The sequence below is a fragment of the Homo sapiens genome, chromosome 13, assembly GCF_000001405.40.
Source record: "Homo sapiens chromosome 13, GRCh38.p14 Primary Assembly".
Taxonomy (NCBI): Eukaryota; Metazoa; Chordata; class Mammalia; order Primates; family Hominidae; genus Homo; species Homo sapiens.
Window position 1 is genome coordinate 106,614,511 of NC_000013.11, and position 22,939 is coordinate 106,637,449.

The 22,939-nt window shown below is 43.3% G+C and overlaps 1 long non-coding RNA gene across 1 annotated transcript; it reads left to right on the top strand.

Annotated features, from left to right (window-relative positions):
• The first annotated feature begins 3,299 nt into the window (after window positions 1–3,299).
• Window positions 3,300–17,148, top strand: ARGLU1-DT (ARGLU1 divergent transcript). The gene is made up of 4 exons (NR_051977.1): window positions 3,300–3,523; window positions 11,877–12,624; window positions 13,509–13,631; window positions 16,277–17,148. It is a non-coding gene; the product is annotated as an ARGLU1 divergent transcript (long non-coding RNA).
• The last annotated feature ends 5,791 nt before the right edge of the window (window positions 17,149–22,939 follow it).

Below are 22,939 nucleotides of genomic sequence, written 5' to 3' on the forward strand. Positions count from 1 at the left end.
AGACTCAGGCCATTAAAGTGACAAAAATGAGGAAGTATGGTAATCTTATAAATAAGGGCAACCTTATTATTTGTAAATATAGATAAAAAGAATTTTTTGTTATGATGTGGGTCAGAGTGGTATGGAGTGTCATAGAAAACACATTTCTTTGCAACTCTACCAGGTTGTAGACCATCCATACATTCAGTCCTAATTTTGGACGAGATTTACAAAAGTTGTGTAGGACAAAGGGTTATTTCACCTTTGCACATTGGCATGATATCTGGCATCTCTGGCTCCTCACTACTCAATTCCAGTCATTCCCCTTTAATGATTTGACAATCAGAAATAATCCCATAAATTTTCAAAACTCCCTTCTGAGTGGTGACACCCCTATTGAAAATCATTCCTCTATTATTTCTTTAAAATTCATCATCAACTGCTGTCAACTCTACTGTCAAAACAAGTCCTGCCATTCATACATGATTAGTTCATGACCGTGAGCAAGAATCTGCCCTCAGTTCAGTGAGGGAGCATGAGATCTAGTCCTAAATCAGTCAGTGCACTGTATTCATCTGGTGACAATAGCTAGACATGACCCAATCAGAGCCAATGACACATAATGGAGCTTTTGATTAATAGCTTGGGAGACTCTGGTCCTCCCAGCCACCTCGAATGACAGAGGCTGTAGGTATGGAGCTGCTTAACCATCTGGCGTGTTGCAGAGCCTCCAGTAAAAACCAATCCAGTGGAATGTATAGTTGGGTTTCGGTTCTCTTTGTGTGATACTTTCCCTGCATTAAGTCATGCAAGATTTGAAGAGGAGGAAACTATATTCCTGCTTTATAGTCAGATTGGGGGACACCTAACAGCATGGTGCAGGAAGAGCTTGTATATGGAATCTGTGACCCTAGTACTTCCATATAATATTTTCTGCACTTTATCAATCACTGAACCAGTTATATGCTCCAAAGGTTACATCTTGTACCCTGAAGGGAGGAAAGAAGAAGAAGCAAATTTACACACAGGTACACAAAATACCTACCCAGTTCTAATTATTTTGTTTATTGTCTGTCTCTCTTCACTTGAACATAATCTTCATAAGGCCAAAATTTTCTACCTGTTTCGTTTATTGCTATACTCCTGGTGCTGAAGATGGTGGGATGAGGGAAAGGTAAGCCTTGGCTTCCTGGTTTTCTATTTGCCATCTAAACAGTATTTATCAATATCCACTTCCTTTCTGCTTTTTAACTTTTTATTATGAAAAATTTCCAATATATACAAGGTAGAGAAAATATAAGTGAAATTCCTTGTACCCGTTACTCAACTTCATAATTATCATGGCCAATTCATTTTCACTTATATTCACCACAACTCTCCCTCTTTGCTTCTCTAACTAGATTATATTAAAGCAAATCTCAAAAAGCTTCTACACACTTCTTTTAAAAAAATTTTTATGGGTACATAGTAGGTATATATATTTATGGGGTACATGAGATAGTTTGATACAGACATGCAATATGAAATAATCACATCATGAAAAGTAGGGTATCCATATCCTCAAGCATTTATCCTTTGTGTTACAAACAACCCAATTATACCATTGTAGTTATTTTTAAATGTATTTGTACATTTTAAATGTATTTTAAATGTGGTTGTATTAATTTACTTTCCCACCAAGTGTATGAGAGGGTCCCCTTTTCTCTACATCCTCTCCAGCATTTGTTATTGCCAATTTTTTGGATAAAAACCATTTTAACCAGGGTGGAATTATATCTCATTGTAGTTTTGACTTGCATTTCAGTCAAATGGACCATTGGAACCCAGATCAGGGCTGAAACTCCATTTATTTCCTGGCCCACAAGCACCCTACTCCAATAGAGGGCCCTAAGGAATCCCGAGTTCTCTGGGTGTGAATGTCAGCTCAGGCCCTGTGTCCAGCATTTCTCAAAATGTTTGCATATTCTGCTTTTCCACTGTATAGTTGTTTAAACAAGTGACCACAGGCACATTTGGCAAAGAACCATTGGAACCATAACTGTGTTCCCTTGCCATGGGTGCTCCTGAGAACCTGACCTCCCTTTGAATTAGTGGATTCTGGGTCAGATAAACTGACTCAAGGATTAAGATCTGTTTTATTTCTTCTTCCATCATCTATCACACACTTGTGGCATTTCATCTTTACTTAATGTGGGCTGTAATTTTCTCCAAAGTTCCAGGAGTCATCCTAGCAGTGTGATGAAAACATCTCCCAGAGTCCTTGCCAGGGTGGCAAATCATCTATTACAGTAGACTGTGCCCATATAAATAAACTCATCATTTTCCAACTTCATGCTTCCCCTGCTTTGATTCATCCCCCTCATTCAGTCCCATGAAGAGTCTCTGGCTTTGGCCATTGCACGTTGGCCTGCCGCCTTTAGGCACATGGTTCCTTCCTTTGCTCAGCAGGCTCTGCATTTCCCCTCCACATGCTGTCTCACTTGACTCTAGTGATGGGTCTGGTCAAGGCAGGAGGTGGGGGTGGGTCCTGAGGAGCACTGTGTTGTCTTGCAATGCAGAGATTCCTATACCATGTTCAAGCAAGGGCAGAGCACAGCCTCTCACAGGGAGGTCAGGGCCACCTCTGTAGGCCCGGAGGGCTCTGAATGGAGTGTTGAGGTTTTGTTTTGTTTTGAGATAGAGTCTCACTCTGTCACCCAGGCAGGAGTGCAGTGGTGTGATCTTGGCTCACTGCAACCTCCACCTCCCAGGTTCAAGCGATTCTCCTCAGCCTCAGCCTCCTGAGTAGCTGGAACTACAGCCACACACTGCCACGCTTAGCTAATTTTTTGTATTTTTAGTAGAGGCCAGGTTTCACATGTTGGCCAGGCTGGTCTCGAACTCCTGACCTCAGGTGATCTGCCTGCCTGGGCCTTCCAAAGTGCTGGGATTACAGGAGTGAGCCACTGTGCCCAACCTCAAGAGTTGAGGTTTTGAGAGCATTAATTCTGTTGTCTCTCTCATCCCTAATAGGCCCCTGACATTGTCATAGCCATAACCAGACTAACCAGAGCTAAGAATTCAAATTTTTTTGAAGTGCTGCTATTCTTATAATTAATTCCTGGGCCTTATCCTTAGATTTTTCAGTCCTCCTGCTACAGGAGATGAGTCTCTTCCGATGCCTCCAGTGAGGCTTTCTCCCTTTCACACTTTCCTTTCAATGATGATTCACAGCCCTGAGCCTCACTTTGTCTTTCTCTAATGCCTCCAGTGACTCAGCCAGAGCCATTAGAGTCCATTGTTCTCAGGACTGGTAATTTCTCTAACTCCCAAAAGCCTGGGAGATTGCCATCTACCAGGGTATTCTCTCCCACCTCTTTCCCACCCCAGGTCATCACCAGTGAAAGTTCTGACACTTGCACTTCTCCGGCAAGCCAGGGCCGGGGCTTCACTGCCAGCCAGCAGGAGGATGAGCCAGCTCTGCAGTTCCACTTCAGAGTCCATCTTCTTGGATCACTCTTGGCACCAACTGTATTGAGTTGAGTTCTGGGAAATAGACTTGCAGGTAAAAATTTCCATGAGAAGTTTTTTGGGGAGTGATCTTAGTGCTTATACCTATAAAGGAGTAAACGCGGTAACACTGGGCAGAAGGAGATGTTGAGCTTTGTTGCAGTTGCAGCAGAGGAATCGGTCAATCTTGCATGGAGTCTGACCTGGGAGGGCCTCCCAGAGCTGTATCACCATGAGGCAAGGGGCCAGGCCTCTGCATCCCACCTTTGTGCACCAGTCATTGGATGCAGCTGCCCCTGGGATGGTGCTATGAACTTGGGCAGGGTGGCTGTCTTCAGCTGGGAGCCGTTTCCAGGAAGGGACCCAGTGGGGAGCCCTGACAACCACCCCCCAACCCACCAACACTCTCAGCTGTGGAGAGGATGACAGCGTCTGCCTGGGCATCACAGCAGCCACAACCGCCCCTTTTTCACTCCTTTTAATCTGTCTGCCCCCTTTTATACATTTATTCTTCCAAGGTTTCTATTCTCAGGCTTTTTCTTCTTGGGTCTGCCTTTCTTTGGGGGGATGGGGCTGCGGGGAGTGTTGCATCTACTTCCTACTACAGATGCTGTGCCCTGTCCTCGGATCTCCATGATTCCCACCCACTGGTTTATCCTTCTGTTTGTACCAGTCCTCTTTGGACTTCCCACCTGTTTGCATCACCTCCCCAACTTCCCGATTCGACCCCCAAGTCCTATATCTGTACGATACCTGTGCATGCCTTGTATGGAAGTCCCCATGGCTCGTACGTTGTGGATCCAGGCTTCTGTACTTCAGTTCCCAGCACCAATATCACAACCTGTTTGGAAGTGGACATGCGTTAAATTCGTGCATGTTCCCTACTTTTTGCCTTGGTGTCTAATTCTGCTCTCTCTTTCCACCCCGCCCCCCTACCTCAGTCCATTATCCACAGCTCTTACAAAGCTACCAGAGGAAGCTTTCTAAAATATGAATCTTTATTCATCGAAAAATATTTATGGAACGTTTGCAGTGTCCCACCTAGGTTATTTTCTAGGCATCTGTGATGAACAATACAGTCAAAGTTCCTGCTCTCACAGAACTTACATTTTAGCCGGAAGACAGGCATTTAAAACAAGCGAATGAATGGATAGATGCTATGCTAGGAATTAGAATGGTAAGATAGCATGAAGACATGGCTGTTTTATAATAATATCAGTTGCCTGATTAAAAATTGTCAGAGGTTTCCCATTGTCTTCAGGGGAGAGTTCAGACTCGCTTGGCACAAAAGACTCCCATGGAGAAAAGTTCTGGGCCCCTGGTGTGGATCAGATGGCCCCTTGAACTTGGTAATTTGGGTGGCTGACTCTTCCAGGAGGCCAGTCCTTCTGCCCCAGTGGCCTTCCTCCTGGTCTCCTTCCTTCCTCCTCCCGGGATCCCTTCCCACTGGAATAATGTTGCTTTTAACCAAAGTGACAAAAGCCCAGCTGGCCTCAGCAGGTTTATTCTTGTCAGTGTCTCAAACCAGACAATGAACAATCCATTTCAACAGGGACTTTTGCCACTATTTCTGGGAAACGTGGACTGTGACATGACTTTTGGAAGAAGATATATTGTTTTTAAGCATGGAGGTGCAATGCTGATTTCTACTGAGGCTGGGCGCTGCGGCTTGATTTGCACCCACACAACACTCCCTCTTCCTAGCCCAGTATCCCCTCCCCCCCGCCATTTTATCTCACTGAGATTATAGGAGATTTTAAGCAAGAAAACAAAATGAAACCAAGCACTTTATCAGTAGGTTACAGGTCAAAGGCGATAAGTCCTCAAAAATCCCAGTTCTCAACAGGAACCTGGGACTTTTCACTGCACTCACTGCAGAGGTGAGGAGATGACAGAGGAAGCAGAAGGTCCCTTGCCCTTGGCAGGCTCCCACCAAGCTGCCATTACTTATGGGGCCATCTAATGAGGGATCTGAAGAAATTGATGACGGACCCCTAAACATCCCTGAGTCCAGCAAATCTCCTCCCCCTTCCTTCCCGCATTGCCGCTCCTCTTCTTTTTCCCTTTATTTGGCGTTATGTTCATTGCCTTTCCCCCACTTCTCTCTCTTCCTTGGACTCCTGCAGCCCGGGTCACTAACTTAGCTTTCACCCCCCCTAGTGGTAAGTAAGGCAAATCACCCATTTGCTTGTTGGTTCCAAGAGCTACAGCTACACGCGCTCTCATAGGGGCTGAACAGATATAAAATGAGAGAAGACATCTACTTATTATTTGAAGGAGGTTAAACTTTTATTTTAACCACAACAGATAGTCCCCAATCTTGAGATACTTATTCTTTATTATTTGATTATTACATACATAAGAAATTACAACTATAGTGTATCAATAGAATTTCATAATGTGTACAGTCAAGCCTTTTAGGTATTTTCTATTATTATACATAAAAATATAGTTAATGAAAAATAAAATCATTTCTCATTATACCTGAGGTGTGATGTAAATGAAGTTGATACTGTAAGATTGATATTAGTCACGGTGATTGCCCTTTTGAGTGAAATCAACATGCTGTACTAAAAAAAATATAGTACAATATTAGGGTTTAGCTTGTATTTCTGAGACTGGAAACGGTCTTAAGAGGGATGAGGTGAGCTGCTGTGATATGCAGAGGCCTGGGAAGACCTTTCTGCTGCTAAAAATTTTGCCCTGACTCATGTGGCCTTGGGCTAAAATCAAATGTTCACATTGATAGGAAGGCATCATAAAAATAAACGAATTGTCAGCTCTTTCTCCTTTCCACTGTTAAACCTCTGCAAGTTTAACTCTGAGCTGCTGGAAGGAGGGTGAGAGGTAGTTTTGTAAGGAACTGGGTGGATTTTCATAATACTGGGATGTTAAAGAGCAGAATGAGAAGTGTGACAGAGAGCACGGAGCACTTCAGGAGGTGGAAATGGTGTGTGATACTGTAACTCCAGCTCTTGTTGGACACAGCTTTTTAAAATTTGTATTTCATGAGTCCTAGGAAAATTCTTCTTCCCCAAATGGCAGTAGTACAGATCTGGGGCTGAAAGAAAGGCCTTCATTCTTTTTTTTTTTTTTTTTAATATGTAAAATGTTAACTCATTAAATCCTCCCTATGACATTATGAGGTAGGTGCTATTGTAACATTCACTGTGCTGATAAACTGAGACAGAAGAGAAGTTAGGTAACTTGCTCAAAGTCACTTAACAAGTAAGCAAGGGGTGCGGCTTCCACCCTAGCAATCTGGCCCCAACATGCGTGCATTTGCTTATTCTCCAGGGCTGCTCTTCTAGCTGGAGGATCTGGAGCTGGAGGTCAGAACCCGCAGCTTTCTGGCCGAAGGACATTAAGCCAGACAACTCAAACGTGTTGTATTGCTCATACTTTGGGTTTACCATGATCATGTAGGCAACACTGATTGATGATCAGTGCAACTAGGTCTGAAACAGGATATTCTTGTACTGAAGCTTAGTTTTATGCAGAATTACATCTTATCCTTCAGATTCTAAGCTTATTTCTGCACTGATAAGTTGGCATCTCGGTGGCCTCAGTTTCTGTGGGTTTTTACCCGGTTGAGATGAGAATATTCCTTGCTCCCCTAATGGATTTCCATTTAATTTTCTTAAAACAAAAACAATACTGTTTTTTAAAAGAAAGTGTTTTCATGCAGTTTAAGTGTTAAAAAATCAGTTTAAAATTTTCACAGCAGCAAGAGCAGGAAGAACTCAGGTTATATGGTCTTGACCACACTTGCCGGCATACAGCGTACTTTGTCCTGGGTGGGTGCTGAAGAAAAATGGAGAACAAAACCAACTCCATGACTGAAACACAAACTCAACCTTGCACATGCAGCAAATAGGTTGAGTTAAAAGAACAATGAAAGAGAGCTCAGACTCATTCTTGTTTTAGTGACTTTTTAGGTTTATTTTTTTCCAACTGTGATTTTATCCAGAGTGTTAGTATAAACTTATGTGGTTAGAACTGTTACCAAAGGATAGGAGATCTAATTCCAGATCAACCAGTGAAAGTCGGGTAGTTTTAACCACCAACATCTGCAACAGCTAAATAAGATCCATGTTGCTTCTGTTACACAGTGTTTCCTACTGTATTTTTGAAAATGTGCTCAATTGTCACATAGTAAAAGCAAATATTGAGTAGCTTCTGAGGGACAGTGGTACTTTTAAAAAAGTGATCCCAACTCCTATGTTCTTTAGAAACAATTCAAGTAAACATATTAAATAAGATTCCAAACCTTTCACCTCTTATTACTGTTCCATCTAAAATTTCATCCATTTGGAATGAATGGGGAGATGGACAATGTCCTTGGAAAGATTGTAAGTCTAGACGGGGGTAGCTTAGTTTCATATTTTTATATAAAAAAAGCTTTTTGCTCACAAAGCCAGATGGTAGACGGAATTGCTCCACTTAATGCTGGGAGCTGTTCATGACAGAGCATGCACTGGGTATGCTGACAGAGATGAATGCTTTGGAAAAGGTTTCCACTGAACACAGAAACTTGATTTGCAAAGGAGGAGAGACTTTGTCCATTCCCTAAGTGACCAATCTTTAAGAATGGCTTTAAGAATGATGTGAGTTGAAAATTAAATCTAAAATCATAAAATAAGTAATATCTTCCTGTATACTTACACATTTGAGGGTATGATTACTATCTGGTCATTTGGCAAGAACAGTTACAAGAAATCACATCTTAAATAAACTTCTCATACACAATTTGTTGCTAAAATGCATTTGCTTAGCAGCCAAGGATTAGATTTTTGCCAGTTTGTACTAAGGATTAGCTGAGATTTGTGTTGCAAACAGAAGATTAAGGGAGCAGGCATATCATCTTCATGAACAATTCAGAATAATATTTTGTTTCAAAATTAACCAGTGTGGGATCAGCACTTCACATTATGTGTTTGTGTGCAGAAATTCATGCATATAGCATTTCTTTTTCCAGAAGTAATTAGGGGATTCAGGTAAAACCAATTATTTGTGAGCACTTTGTTATATAAAAGAGGTCCCTGTGCTGAGCCACACACTGGGAGATGGTAAATCAGTAGTTCCTTCCCGGGTATGTTATGTTTGATTATACTTATATTCTATAATATTTTGCCCTTTTCATTTTATGCTCATATTTTCATTGGTTTATGAAGTAACAGTCTCTAGATTTCATTCCAAATGGAAAGTTGGCATGAAAACTCTCAATCCAATTATTCCTATACGCATTTTGAAACAAATCATTTTGGCCCTTTTGAAAATTTTACAGGAGGTGATAAAAATAGGAAATTTCAGGTTTCAGATGTTTTATTGCATTCTTGTAGCATAATAACAGCTTCATTAAAAAGAATTCCACAATACAATGTGGACTCTGTGAGTTGTTTAAAACACTTTTGCTGGCTTTCTTTTTAAAGCTTTGTATGCAAGAAAGTTGTGTTATTTTACAGTTTATGTTTCATTTTATTTTGCTAAGCTTTGGGGAGATATTGAATTAATACTCCCCAATGCATGACTGTAGGGATTAAAGAGCCTGCCAAGTGGTACTGCTCTTGAGACTGATGACTTAGGACACTTCCAAGCTAAAATCACACCTATTCTAAGAAGTTGGAATCAGTTTCAGGGCTTATTTCAATCTCCGGAGCTAATCATCCTTCAACTTATGGGCTGTGTTAGAGGTGGACTTGGGGGAAGCTCTTCCCTAGGGCATTTTGTTCAGTCACTGGAGGAACAAGAGGAAGAAGCAAAAGTAACTCTCTCTCCCCTGAATTTGGGAAATTATTATTTCCCAGGCAACAAATTTTAGCAGGGGTAGAGGGAACCTTCAAAGCTATCTGGTACAGGTGTTCTTTCGGTCTCAAGTCTCCTTTCCAAACTCTGTCTTCCAAACAAAGCTCAAGTATCTCCAGCAAGGGGAAATTTCATCTTGGGAGGCAGAGCCTTCTGTCTGGGAACACCCCGGAGTTACAGAGCTCCTCCTGATGTGGAGCTGAGATCTGTCGTCCTGTGACTTCCACCCATTGTTCCTAGCAATATACCTCCGACACAGAAAGAACAGGCCTCTTTTTATTTCTTAACAGCAATTCAGCTCTCAGGGGAGGGCATGGGTAGAGTAGGGAGGATGGAGCTTTGTAGATGGACAGGGTCCTGTCCTCTCTGGTCCTCAGTCTCCAGTTCTGTAAGGTGCCGATTATAAAACCAGACTTCCAGCGTTGCTGGGGAGATTCCAGGAAATGTGTATGAGGCCCCTGCTGCAACTCCTGGCACCAAGCAGTGACTCCATAGCAGATGATCACTACGATTCCTATGGAAGCTGCTTAGTGATTTTCCCTGGAGTCCTCTTTCTGTAGGAGAATTGGCCTCTATTTTTTCCATCTCTTTACATGTTTTGTAGGTTGGGGTCTCCACCACTTCCAGTTAGTCAAGTCTTGCCAAGAACTATCTGCAATCCTTTTTAGACCTGATGGCTGCTAGGGAACAGAGTGGAAACCCTCCGCAGCAGCTGGTCACAGAAGCAGAATTGATGTCCTCGTCGGGTTCTCCATTCAGGGACCAAATGCTCAGCAAATGCCTAGAGAGCGAATGGCAGGCATTTCGTAGAATAGAAAGAGTAAGACAGTTTGGAGCTGAAATTCACACTCTATTATTATACTGTGAAATCCTAGTGCGCTCCTTCTGTGTCAGCCTTTGTGTCAGATACCTACATATTTATTATCTTACTCACTCCTCACATCAACTCGGTGATCTGAAGATTGTCTCTATTTTCCCTCTGAGGAAACAGAAGTTCAGAGAATGTGAGAAACCCATGGAAGGTTGGCCAAGCGCTCCTGGTAGATTTGAGATGATCTGATCAGTGAGCAAGATGATCTCAATCACCTGAAAACCAATGAGGAGAAAAATTGTGTTCATCACTGTATTAGTCAGGGTCCTCCAGAGAAACAGAACCAGCAGGAGATGTACACATTCTATATGGATATAAAAGGAGGTTTATTATGAGGAATTGGCTCACATGATTCTGGAGGCTGAGTAGTCCCAGGACCTAGCATGTGCAAGCTGGAGAACCAGGAAAGCTGGGGCTGTAATTCAGTCCCAGTCTAAAGGCCTGAGAATCTGGGAAGCTGACAGTGTGGAGCAGGGAGGTTGAGGCTTTGCAGGTAGATGGGGTCCCCTTCTCTCTGGTCCTTGGTCTCCACTTCTGTAAAGTGGTGAATATCAAACCTGACTTCCAAAGTTGCTGGGGAGACTCCAGAAAATGTGTATTAGGTACCTTGTGCAGTTCCTGGCATCTATCAGCGACTGAATGACAGATGATCATGATGCTTCCTATGGAAGGTACCTAGAGCCAGAGAAGATGAAATGAGATGTCCCAACCCAAGCAGTCAGTGATGATGCAAAAAGGGGCAAACTGCTGCTTCCTCTGCCTTTGATTCTGCTCAGGCCCTCCAGGGATTGAATGATGCCCAACCACTTGGGGAGGGCATCTCCTTTACTGAGTTCACTGGTTCAAATGCCAATCTCACCTGGAAACACCCTCACAGGCACACTCAGAAGGAAATTTAATCTTGGCACCCCATGGCCAGTCAAGGTGACCCAGAGAATTGACCATCATAGTTACTTTTAAGGCAATTCTGACATGAACTCAATTCCATCTTATGGTTTTGTTCCATGAACAAAACCCAGAGAGGTAAACGTGGTTTGCAGGTGGTGGGAAATCAATGTCTCAGGCGCTCTTCACGCTGACTTGTGTAATCCTTCCCTGGAGAACTGAAGACTCCCAGCAGGGAGCTAACAGGGTTTCTTCTCTTCTTATCTCTGCTCTAGCCACTATCAGTGTGCCGGGTCCCTCTGAGAGACAAATGGGAAACTCAAAATGTAAGCCTGTATTAAAACAGATCACAGTGATGCTAGATGGCCGTACTCATCTATGTCTCCAGCAGGCCATGCACACAGGCTGCCCAAAGCCTTTCCTTTTCCATGTTGCCCCCAAGTTTTTCTTTGTGTGTATCTCGCTGTTTACATCTAGTTCTCTTGAATATTTCCCCAAGATAGCAGGTAGCTCCCCGGTCTCACAGGAGTAGTTCATAAGACAAACAGAATTACCATTTCTTGGTTAATTATCATATCTGTGGACCCTTTAAGCATTACTGTAAATGAAGATTTTCAAATCATTTGAGAAACACTAAAATTTAAAAATACAACAGAATCTTAGTGCATGGCTAAACATCTGATAATATATGCAGGGTGAGTGGTTATAAAAGAGAAAACATGCCTATGGCCAATATTTTATATAAAATAGACTCAAAAGCAATAAGTCCTAATATTAGTTTAGAAGGGATGGAGGCTGTCCAGCTCATAATAAAATTCCTCTTCTTTTCATGTTGTTTCTTTTCCAGGTCATACGAAAACAAGTATAATAATGTATTTTGCCTATAGGTGCCAAGACCTGCATTGTTTCCTTTCAGATACTTTTCTTTATTGTATTTGGGAACAAACCAGCTATAGCATGAGGAAGGGATGTCAGGTGGAGATAGAAGAGAAGAAAACTGGATGTGCCAACACTGTCATACACAGGGATTTTCAGCAGTTTCATGAAGCTACTGGAAGATCTTTTCTTTGCTTGCCTATAAACCCATGCCATCCAGTTCTCTCAGTCATAGTGAGCTATTCCTGGAAAAGCCCTTGCATCAATCAGTGTCCCAACAGGAAATGGTTGGCATCCCAGATGAAGATGATAAAGGGACTGTTTACAAAGTTTTGGGGAAACTCCAAGGAATAGTTTAATAGCCCAGTCCTGTTACCACCCCTGCACCCAAAGTGACAAGGGGAGGGGGTGGAGACTGGGACATGGGAAAATCATCTAGGGAAGGATACCTTTACTGGATCAGCAGCCTTCAGTTGGAGGAACACAGCCAGCTCCTGGTGACCCCACAGGGAGAGAGCGGGAGCACTAAGGATTCCAAACTCAGTCCTCCTGATCTTCATCAGTATTCGTCATTGGCCAAACAAATAACTGAAATTCAGAGGGCAAGAGAGCTCATTGTTATCTAAACAGGTCAGCATGGCAGACAGCGAGGCGAAGAGGGAAGGAAGGTGGATTTGGAAGAACAAACGGGAGTGACCTAGTGCAGCCCTGATAAACCCGTGAGTATCGAGGCATATCATAGGGGCAGATGCTTCGTGCTGAGCTGATCAGCATCCCATGGAGTAGTACGAACTGTAGGCATTACCAAGATTGTGTTCTTGCAGAATCATACGCAGGGATTTCCTGGCCCCCCACCCCCCTTGAATCATGATTTAAATTGCTTTATGCTTAAAAATTACTGCTTATTCTTAGAGGGTGTGGGTATGAGAGAGTTCTTGTGTGAGCTTTGGATGGTGAATTGGAAAACTGGACCATGGCATGAAGAACTAGCAGCCTTTTCTTTTCTTTTTTTTTTTCTGTTTTGTTGTTTTGTTTTGTTTTTGTTTTGTTTTGTTTTGTTTCATTTTTTTCCTCCTGTGGGAGGGAAGACAATGAAACTGGGCTCAGCACAGAGTTTCTGGAATTGGGCTGGCGGATTCCCACACTTGGTGTTATTTAGGACTGAATAAGCCAGACTTTGGTATTGCTCTGTGAATTATTGTCACTGTTTGGTTCAGCTTTTCTGAGTTAGACCCTAGAGGGTGGGAAATGGGACACACCCTGCAGGAAATAGCTGTGGCTCTTCTTTAGGAGGTGAGCGTTGGCCTGAGAAAGGACCTCACTACTGGCCAGGAGGAAGTGAAGTTTGGATTCAGAAGTTCGGAGCTAATAAGATTCCCACTGATGGAGGCAGACTTGGTTTCTGACAGTGGGCACCCTGGGCAGGGGAAGCTGGGCAGGGCTGCTGAAGTCTGGTGGGAGCCCTGGATCTGTGAACTCTCACTTCTAGGAGGGACTGTGACCCCCACTTCTAGGAGGGGCTATCCTCTTTCTGCTAACCTTCAGCCTGCTGTGCATTCCTGTTAGAAGTCATAGCTACTGTCATTTGTGCTGGTGGAACTAGGAAAGCAGTGTTCCTCTCAAGATATTATGGGGTCCCAGGGAGATGCAGTGTCCAGGGAAGCAGAGGCAGCAGCACAGCTGCAGGAAGAAGTCAGGGTGGAATCCACACAGAGCGCATTCCCAGGTGAGCATGTAGGCCCAGGGGCGTGGGCTGTAATTCCTTATGTATTAAAATAAAGTAGATTCTGTTTCATAGTCACCAGCTACTGAAGTCAGCAATATATACAAAATATACATTAGCAAAGCACAACTTCTTCTTCTGTCTCAAATGTCTTGTTGCTCCTACCAATTACTTGCCCTGCTTAATAGATACTCTTCACAATGGTTAACTCAGTATACTGTAGGTCATACATTAGTAGAAACATGCTCTTATAATGAGCGTGATCATGGTAGGTGCCAGGCAAGTACACTCCAAGCCCAGATGTCTAGGAAGATATATAGGGTCGGGTGGCAATTGGCAAGGGAATTTGGACCTGAGGCCAGTGTCCTCCTGGTGGTGTGGGCATATGGGGGCATGGGTCTACCTGGAGGCCACTGCCTGGGAAAGCACTGGCTTCATTGATCCTCAGAGTGGGGACCATTGGCTGGCCACCTGAAAAATGACTGTCAAGCTTGATGGCCTTCTACAAGTTGTTTAATCTCTCTATGGTTTCTACATCTGAAAACAGGCATAGCAATAGTTGTCACCTTGTAGGGGGTTGTCAGCATGAAATAAATGGATACATACACAATGTTTAGAAAAGTGTCTGAAACTAAGTCTTCAATTCCCACCCTCATTTACTCATTGATCATTCAAGAAATATTCATTGAGTGAGAGATAGAAACTTTTTTGGGCTCTGAATAATGCAGGTAGAAGTATTTGCCTTCATGGAGCTTATTGCTAGGTCATAGAGTCATAAAGACATTGCTAGTTTAATCCTTTCATTCACATCACACATTTCTCCTATGTTGAGAAGATGTGCAGGCTATGGGCTGGAAGCTGACCATGGGCTGGAAGCTGGCTTACTAGCTTTGCTGATGGGTAAGCATTTCTGATTTCTAGCTGAGATTGAAGGAAGAAAATGTGTCCCTATCAAAACTGTTCATTCTTTCTCAATTGCTAATGCTTCCTTGAGGATTTATGGATTCAGCACTAATAAACTGTGGATTGGAAGTTTAACTGAAAGACTGACCTATTTCACCTCTGTACTGGAAAGAAAAGCCCAGATTACAGTGAAATTGAGTTCCAGAAGTTAAGCAAGAGGAACTTCCACTTTTGAACTCTGCAGTAGGAAGGGGTAGAAATTGAGAATTGGTTCAGACATGGAAGTTTATAGAGGATTCGAAAACATTTTTATTTTTTTCAGAGGGAGGGGCTTTCCAGGAATGCCCCAAAGCCCCCAATTCAATTTAAACACACAAAGAAAATCTCCACAGCTCCATGCCACATGGCGGTATTTCACTCCAACACAAGCTTTTTGGCATAGTGTCCAGGGCTAAATGTTTACAAATACTGCATTTTGTTTGTAGGGCTGGATCTCAGAGTTCAGATCTCATACTCTTTAGTTGCATTAACTGATTCCAGGAAAAGAAACTAGGGAAAAGACTTACCAAAAGCAAAGAAAGAAAAACCAACAATATTTTCTCATCTTTAATCATGGAATTTGGCATGAGGAACCTCAGCTTTTTCATGTTTATCATAAAGTTTTACTTATTCATTTATTCCACAAAGGCTCTTTGAGAGTCGACTTTTTTTGCCAGGCATTGCACTCCACATCAGAGATAGCACCGTGGGCACAAGAGCAACAGCAGTACCAAAAAGGTGTGGTCCTGGCCCTTATGGAGCTGACGGTTTAGTGGGGGAAATGGACAGTAGTGACATTGATTGTGTAATTAACACTGGAGTGTTTCCAAGAGACAAGTTTCCATAAGAACGAATACTAGGAGGAATTGCTTAATCAGGGAAGTTAGGGGGAGCTGAGCTCGGAAGGAGAGGGAAGGATGGACCAGATGAAGACGGGGAGATGGAGGCAGCGGGCTCCAGGAGGGAGCAATGTGTACAAAGGCTGCATGGTGCAAATACCACCCTGGAGAGATGCCGGAGTGAGGAGCGCAGAGGCACAGAGATAGGGGAGTGGGAGAGGGGAGGCTGGCGTGGTTTACATTAAGGATTTTGACCACCATCAACACCTAGAGCTACTGAAATGTTTAAGGGGAGGTGTGACGAGTATGGTTAGGTTTGTGGGGTTGGGTGGGACCACTTGTGCACGATCGGGGAGGAAATCTGTAGATTGTAGGTCTACCAACTATGAGAGGAAGGAGGGGAGGAAGAAGCGGGGTAGGGCAGGGGAGCTGCAGACCGTGACACAGATGTGACAAATTGTCAGACCACCCAGTGGGAGCTGTCTTAGTCAGCTTGGGCTGCTATAATGAAATGCCACAAGCTGGGGGCTGCAACAACAGAAATTTACTTTCTCACAGATCTGGAGGCTGAAAGTCTGAGATCAGAGTGCCAGCAGGGTGGGGTTCTTGGTGAGGGCCCTTTTTCTGGTTGTACTCTCACATGGCCTTTCCTTGGGGTCTGCAGGAAAAAGAGAGAGAGAGAAAATCTCAAGTCTCTTCCTCTTCTTATAAAGGTGTTAATTCTACTGTGGGGGCCTCACCCTCAGGACTTCATCTAAACCCAAACATTCAGTCCATAGCAGGAGCTCCAGAACAAAGATTTCTCCCTGGAGTCCTGCGTGGAGCAGAAGTGACCAGGCCCATGTCCCCAATTATTCTTCTTCATAGGCTGGGAGCTACCAGAGTATTTGACCTTGGGCACAGCTGGGGTGGCCCCGATGGCGCTGCTGTCTGCTGATGGTCTCCACAGCTTCCCCAGCGAGGCCTTCCTGGAAGGAGTGCTGAGCAGCAAAGCTCTGTGGTCACCACTCAGGACAAAGGGGAACCAGCTGAACAGAGCCTTTCATGTGACAACAAAAAACGACCTGGCTCAAACATCACGACAGGCATCTGTGGAGCCTGGGAAATGACCTTTCTCATGGGGAGAACACAGAACACACAAAGCTTTCTCTTAAAAGTCTACAAAATTATAATCTGATAACAACAGAACGTTTTGGTATTTTGAGTAATAGGTGTCACATCGGAATTGATATTTGCCAAATTTGGCATGATAATTGAATGCTTTTTGCTTATTTATATTTCATATTTTAGTTGTTTTCTAATAACCAAAAACATTTGTGTATTTTTAATAATAGTAGAGGTAAATGAAATTTTACATGTCAGTAAAAAAACTGAAAGATGATGCTTGTAATTTCAAGTCGATTAAAGAAAATTATTAATAAAACAATAAAATACAAATTATACATTTTATATTGTGATACTTAAAGTAGATGACCTGGTTTATCCCTGAAGAGAAAGCATGGATGCATAAACCAGACCATATTGTAAATATTTCAAATTCATTGGTAAACATTGTTTTAAGAAGGTGATTAGCAAATATTGTTTCAAGAAGGTGATTAAGAAGGTGATGCAAAATTTGGAGTACTTTCTGTTTTGTATTTTTCGTGACTATTTGTGAGCACTTGGTGCTTAAGACACACTCAAAGAGGTACTGACAATTTATCATATTCTAAAGCAATAAAACAGGTTGAAAATATCTAATCAGCTTCCTGGCTAATCAAGTAAATGTTACAGAAATGGGTCAATAAGACGGTTAGAAAACCCAGCAACTCCCTAGTATAGACCTCTTCCTTGAGCTCCAAATCAGATAGCTTTATCCATCTCTCTGAAAAGCATCTCCAATTTGAAACCTCTTTCTATTTCACCTGCTTCACCTGACAGGACCTACCTCCCCATCACCCACAGATCCACTGGCCCAGGTGTGTGTACCTAGTCCACCCAATCGCCAAAGCCAGGAACCTGGGGGCAGCCCAGGCTCCTTCCCCCTTCTCATAATATTCAACTGGCCACCAGATTCTGCCTTTTGACATTGCTCTGACCCCACCTCGCCTCTGCATGCCCTCCGACACTGCTTTAGCTCAGGACCCTGTCTCCCAGCTTCCTGGAGCAGGTGCCTCTCCCCTGGTCTCCCCACCTCCAGAGTTACCACTGTCTATGGCAGTGGCTTTCAAAGCCATTCCTGGACCAGCAGTAGCAGCTAGAAATGCGTTAGGAATGCAAATCCTCAAGCCCCATCCCAGACTTTCAGAATTGGAAACTCTGGGGGTGGGTCTGGCAATGGTGTTTGAGGGAGCTCTCGGGAGGCACTGATAGAGTAAAGGCCATTAGAGTGGGCTCTAGTTCAATATGACTGATATCCTTATAAAAAGAAGAAATTTGGACAGAGTCGTACAAAGAAGGAAGAAAATGTGAGGAGACACAGGGAGAAAATGACTGTCTACAAGCTAAGGAGAGAGGCCTGGAACAGACCTTTCCTTCACAGCCAACAGAAGGAACCAGCTTTGCCGACACCTTGATCTTGGACTTCCAGCTTCCAGACTGTGAGACCATCGGTGTCTGTTATTGGAGCCACCCAGCTCATGACACTTTGTTACAGTAGCCCTAGGGAACTAACAGAGTAGTGAAAAGCAAGAATTCTCCAATGATGGATCCCTCAGCTTTGGCATTAACTAGCATTGTGACTATGAGCAAGTTACTTTATTTTTCTGTGCTTTGGTTTTGTCATCTGTAAGATGGGGCTGTATGTACCTCATAAACTTGCTAAAAAGATTAAATGAGTTGATTGTGTGGAGCACCTAATTAGTGGTTGGTATAGAGGAGAACTAAATGTTGGCGAATGCTGCATAAAATCTTCAAGTGCATCTGGCCTGCCTCTCCTCCCCGCCAGGACCGCATGTCACCATGGAAGATGGATTTACAGACATGATGGGGAGCTTTTGTTCATGGTGGCTGATATGGTTTGGCTCTGTGTCTCCACCTAAATCTCACCTTGAATTGTAATAATTCCCATGTGTCAAGCGGCTGGACCAGGCAGAGGTGATTGGATCATGGGGGTGATTTCCCTCATGCTGTTCTCGTGACAATGGGTGAGTCTCATGAGATCTGATGGCTTTATAAGCATCTGGCATTTCCCCTGCTTGCATTCATTCTCTCTCCTGCTGCCCTGTGAAGAGGCGCCTTCCACCATAATGGTAAGTTTCCTGAGGCCTCTCCAGCCATGCAGAACTGAGAGACAATCAAACCTCTTTTCTTTATAAATTACCCAGTCTGTGGTATTTCTTCATAGCAGCGTGAGAATGGACTAATGCAGTGGTGATGCCACGGTAGAATGGGTAACACTTGATACAAGACAGACAGGTCAGACAGTAGGGGATCATTTCCTAGTTCCCTGGATGAGGGCTCATTCAAGTTGGGAAGGAAAAGAACCGGAGGACAGAATAAGTGTTGATGACAAATTTACCACTGACTAGACACGCTACTTTCCTAGTGGGGCCGTAACAAATCACCACACACCAGGTGGCTAAAACAGCATAAATTTCTGCTCTCACAGTTCTGGAGACCAGAAGTTAGAGATAAAGTGTTGGCAGGGCTTCTCTCCCTTTGAAAGCCCCAGGAGACAATCTGTTCCCTGTCTCCCACCCCCAGCTTCCGGTGGCTCCAGGAGCTCCTTGGTTGTGGCTGCATCATTCCAATTTCTGCCTCCATCTTCACAAGGCCTCCTCCCTGTGGTCTCGTCTTCTCTTCTGTTTCTTCTAAGGATACTTGCCATTGGATTTAGTGCTCACCAGAGCATTCCAGGATGATCTCATCTCAAGATCTTTAACTTAATTACATCTGCAAGACCCTTTTTCCAAATAAGGTCACACTCATAAGCTTCAGGGGTTAGGAAGTTGACCTATTGTTTGTGGGGGGGCCACCCTTCAACCTACTACAGCAACTATTTTTCACAAACAAAACATCTAATTTAGTCTTTATAACAGTTCTGCAATATCTCCATTTCATGGATAAGGATGCTTCCAAAAAGAGGGTGACAATGGTGCCCCAGGTTAATGGTAGAGCTAGGGTTTAAATATTGATATTCATGACCTACAGTCCCATGCCTGTCCTCTACTTATGCTTTGAGTTAAGCAAACTGCTCAAAATCTTTGACAGGGCAGCTTTTGCATCAGGCTGTGGACACTCCAACACAAGGGCTACACATGCGAGTGGAGAAAAGAATTGAGCTCGTGCATTTTCAGAAGACACCAGCTGTACAAGAAATATAATTTTCTTTGAAACACTGACAGTTTTATGCTCTTGCATCATGTTTGTCCTTACAATGAGGACATTCGCTTCTAATATTTAACTTACAGCTGGTAGGAAAAAATCTTTGAACTCTTCTGAAGGTTTGCACCAAATATTTTAAGATTCAAAAGCAGGCAAATAATTGTCATTTTCCTCAGCACATTTCCTCCTCTTGCAATATTGCCTGGTTTATTCACGCTTGAACAAAACTGTATAAACGAAACAAAGTTTTGTGTTTTTTACCGGGAAGCTCTCATTATCCATCCTTCATAATAAAAACCAAAACCAAAACCAATGTACATGATCATCTGCTTGACCTCCTTGATTTTTCATCTCACATACAGATACGTTCTAATCAGGATGTCAAAATTCCACTCTTCTTGCTTGGCTGGGGAATTCCGAAAAACAAAAAGAAAACACTGGACTTTTCAGTTGAGAGTTAGGAATATATATATATTAGCTGTGTGACTTGGGTAAATAAGTTCAACTCCTTATGTCTCTGTTTTCTCATCTGTAAAATGAAGTTCAGTAATATTTATCTTATGGGCTTCTCATGCGAATTAAATAAAATACCACATTGACATCAGCTAGAATAATGCTTGGAATAGAATACAGTTAATCAATGCATACTTCCTCCTTCCCATTCTTCCTTCTTTTCTTTATTTGGCTAGAATTTCTCTTGTTTTGACTCTTTACTGAGTTTCCCATTGTTGGCAAAAAAAAAAACTTTCTCCAAAGCTGTTTTGAATTCTAGAACAATCCTTGTTATTTGGCCTTGGTTTCTATATTTTTTAGAAAAGTCAGCCCTTTTCTTTTGACTCTGCCTTCTAAATTTTCCGTCCTGGCATCTTTATAGTTTTACTAACTCTAAAATGTGTTTCTGGGATAAGTTTGTATGTAAACACCAGGCAATTTAAATCACTGAGTATCTATTTCATCAGAGGAAGGGGCAGGGGCAAAGGAGGTTAGAAGAAACAGTGGATGTCTCCTATGGTCTCTCTCTCTTTTTTTGAGTCAAACTCTTCGCTTTCTGGTTTAAAAATGCTCTTACAAATTATATGAGCCTGGGGTTGGCCCAATTTTACCCTTTTGGAGGACGTTTAGCTTGCCTTTCTGCCGCTTTAGATAGGAAGAGCTGGGAAAGAAAGCAGCTTTTTTCCTCTCTAGGAAAGACAACTTTGTATTCTTCCTAGGAGGTGAGGTGTGGACCAGGCCACAGTGTGGTGTTCTGAGCTGGTAGGAGGGGGTGCAGGGAGAATGTTAAGCACTGGCCCTTTGGGGAGGCAAGGTGACTTCCAGATTTGAGTTGCCTAAAGGTAGGGAAGCCTGTCCATTCTTACAGATTCTCTATCATTTCTGTCCTTGATCTAAACCAGACACTCGGAGAGTTGTACATTTGCTGCAGAATTGCTATGGACCCAACAGTAGTATCCCAGGGCTGTTGCAACAAACTCCCACAAAACAGGCACCTTAAAAGGCTAGAAATGTATTCTCAATTTATCATATTCTAAAGCAACAATACAGGTGCCAAAGTCAAGGCACCAGCAAGGCCGTGTCCTGTCTTCTGGTGTTGCCAGCAACCCTCAGAGTTCCTGCCTGGCAGCTGCCCCGTCCAGCCTCTGCTCCCTCGTCCCGTGGCATCTGTGTCTCACCATGGCGTTCTCCTCTCCATGTGCTCGTGTCTCTGTAGCTCTTCTCTGTGTCTTATAACGACACCATCATATAGGATTAAGAGCCCAGTCTATTTCAGTGTGATCCCGTTTTAACTTCCATCTTATTTACATCTGCAAAGACCCTATTTTTTTAAAAAGGTCATGTTCCCATGGACCAGGGGTGAGGACTTCAACGTATCTTTTAGGGGGACACAATCCAACCCATAACAGATACATGAAGAACTGAGTTTCCCAGCCCTGGGAGTGAGCAGCATGGAAGGTCACATGCATGGTGAGACAACGTGAACAGCGCAACACATTGGAGCTGGAAGATCTGGGTTTGAAGGCCACACAGCAGCTCAGTAGCGATGAGATTTGGCCTCAGGTTCCTTGTCTAGAAAAGGGAGTGATGGGTCTCAGACCCATACATAAGATATTCGTTATGTGGCTCACATCACATTCAAATCTTTGTAATATGGCTCCAAACCGACCTTATCCTGTCATCTTTGATTTTATTCCTCTCTGTATGATCCGTGCATAAAGGGCTTCTTGGCTTTCTCCAAATCTGTCACATGGCTGCCATCTCCACTGCTGAGCTAATGCAGTTCCTTAAGCTATTAATGCCCTGCACACCATGCTTTTCTCCCCAAATATTTCCTCTCATCATCCCCAGGTACTTGTCCCAGTCTCACATAAATGCTTCTTCAGCAGCAATTTCACAGTGGGCCTAACTATGCACATTTTCATGCAGCCCAGTATCAAAGTCACGGATCTGTTTCCTTCGTAGGACTGTCAGTTCTTTGAGGGAGGAAATGATGTCCTTCCACCCCCACCCCTTAGCTGTTTAATGAAGTCCTGCAGGATTAAAATCTGACCAAATGGACTTGTGTACATAAAAATGTATCCTACGTGGAAAAGCAGAGGACAGGATTCTGATTACTATCCCTAGACAATACAAATTGAGGGAGCACTAAAAGGCCTGCCCAGTGAAAATTACCAGTTTCTAGCCTGCCACTGGGTTCCCCAGGTCTGCTACTGGTTTACTGTGAACAACCCTACTGGAGACTTTTTTTTTTTTTTTTTTTTTGAGACAGAGTCTTGCTCTGTTGCCCACGCTGGAGTGCAATGTCGCGATCTCAGCTCACTGCAATCTCCGCCTCAGTAATTCTTCTGCCTCAGCCTCCCAAGTAGCTGGGATTACAGGCACACGCTAACATATCTGGCTAATTTTTGTATTTTTAGTAGAGAAGGGGTTTCACCATGTTGGCCAGGCTGGTCTTGAACTCCTGACCTCAGGTGACCCACCCACCTCGTTCTCCCAAAGTGCTAGGATTGCAGATGTAACCCACCGCACCCAGCCTGACTTATCTTTTCAAAGGGATTGTTCCCGTGTTCCCTGGAAAGGAAAGCACTTGGCATTCATTGTCTCCCAGCTGGGAAAAGGTCTCCAAAAGAAGCACAATAAAGAGAGTAAAGTTCGAAGGGAGGGACAAATCAGACAGCATCCCCAGTAAAGTGGGTCTCAGGAGCCCTGTGTGGCATGCTGACTGGACAG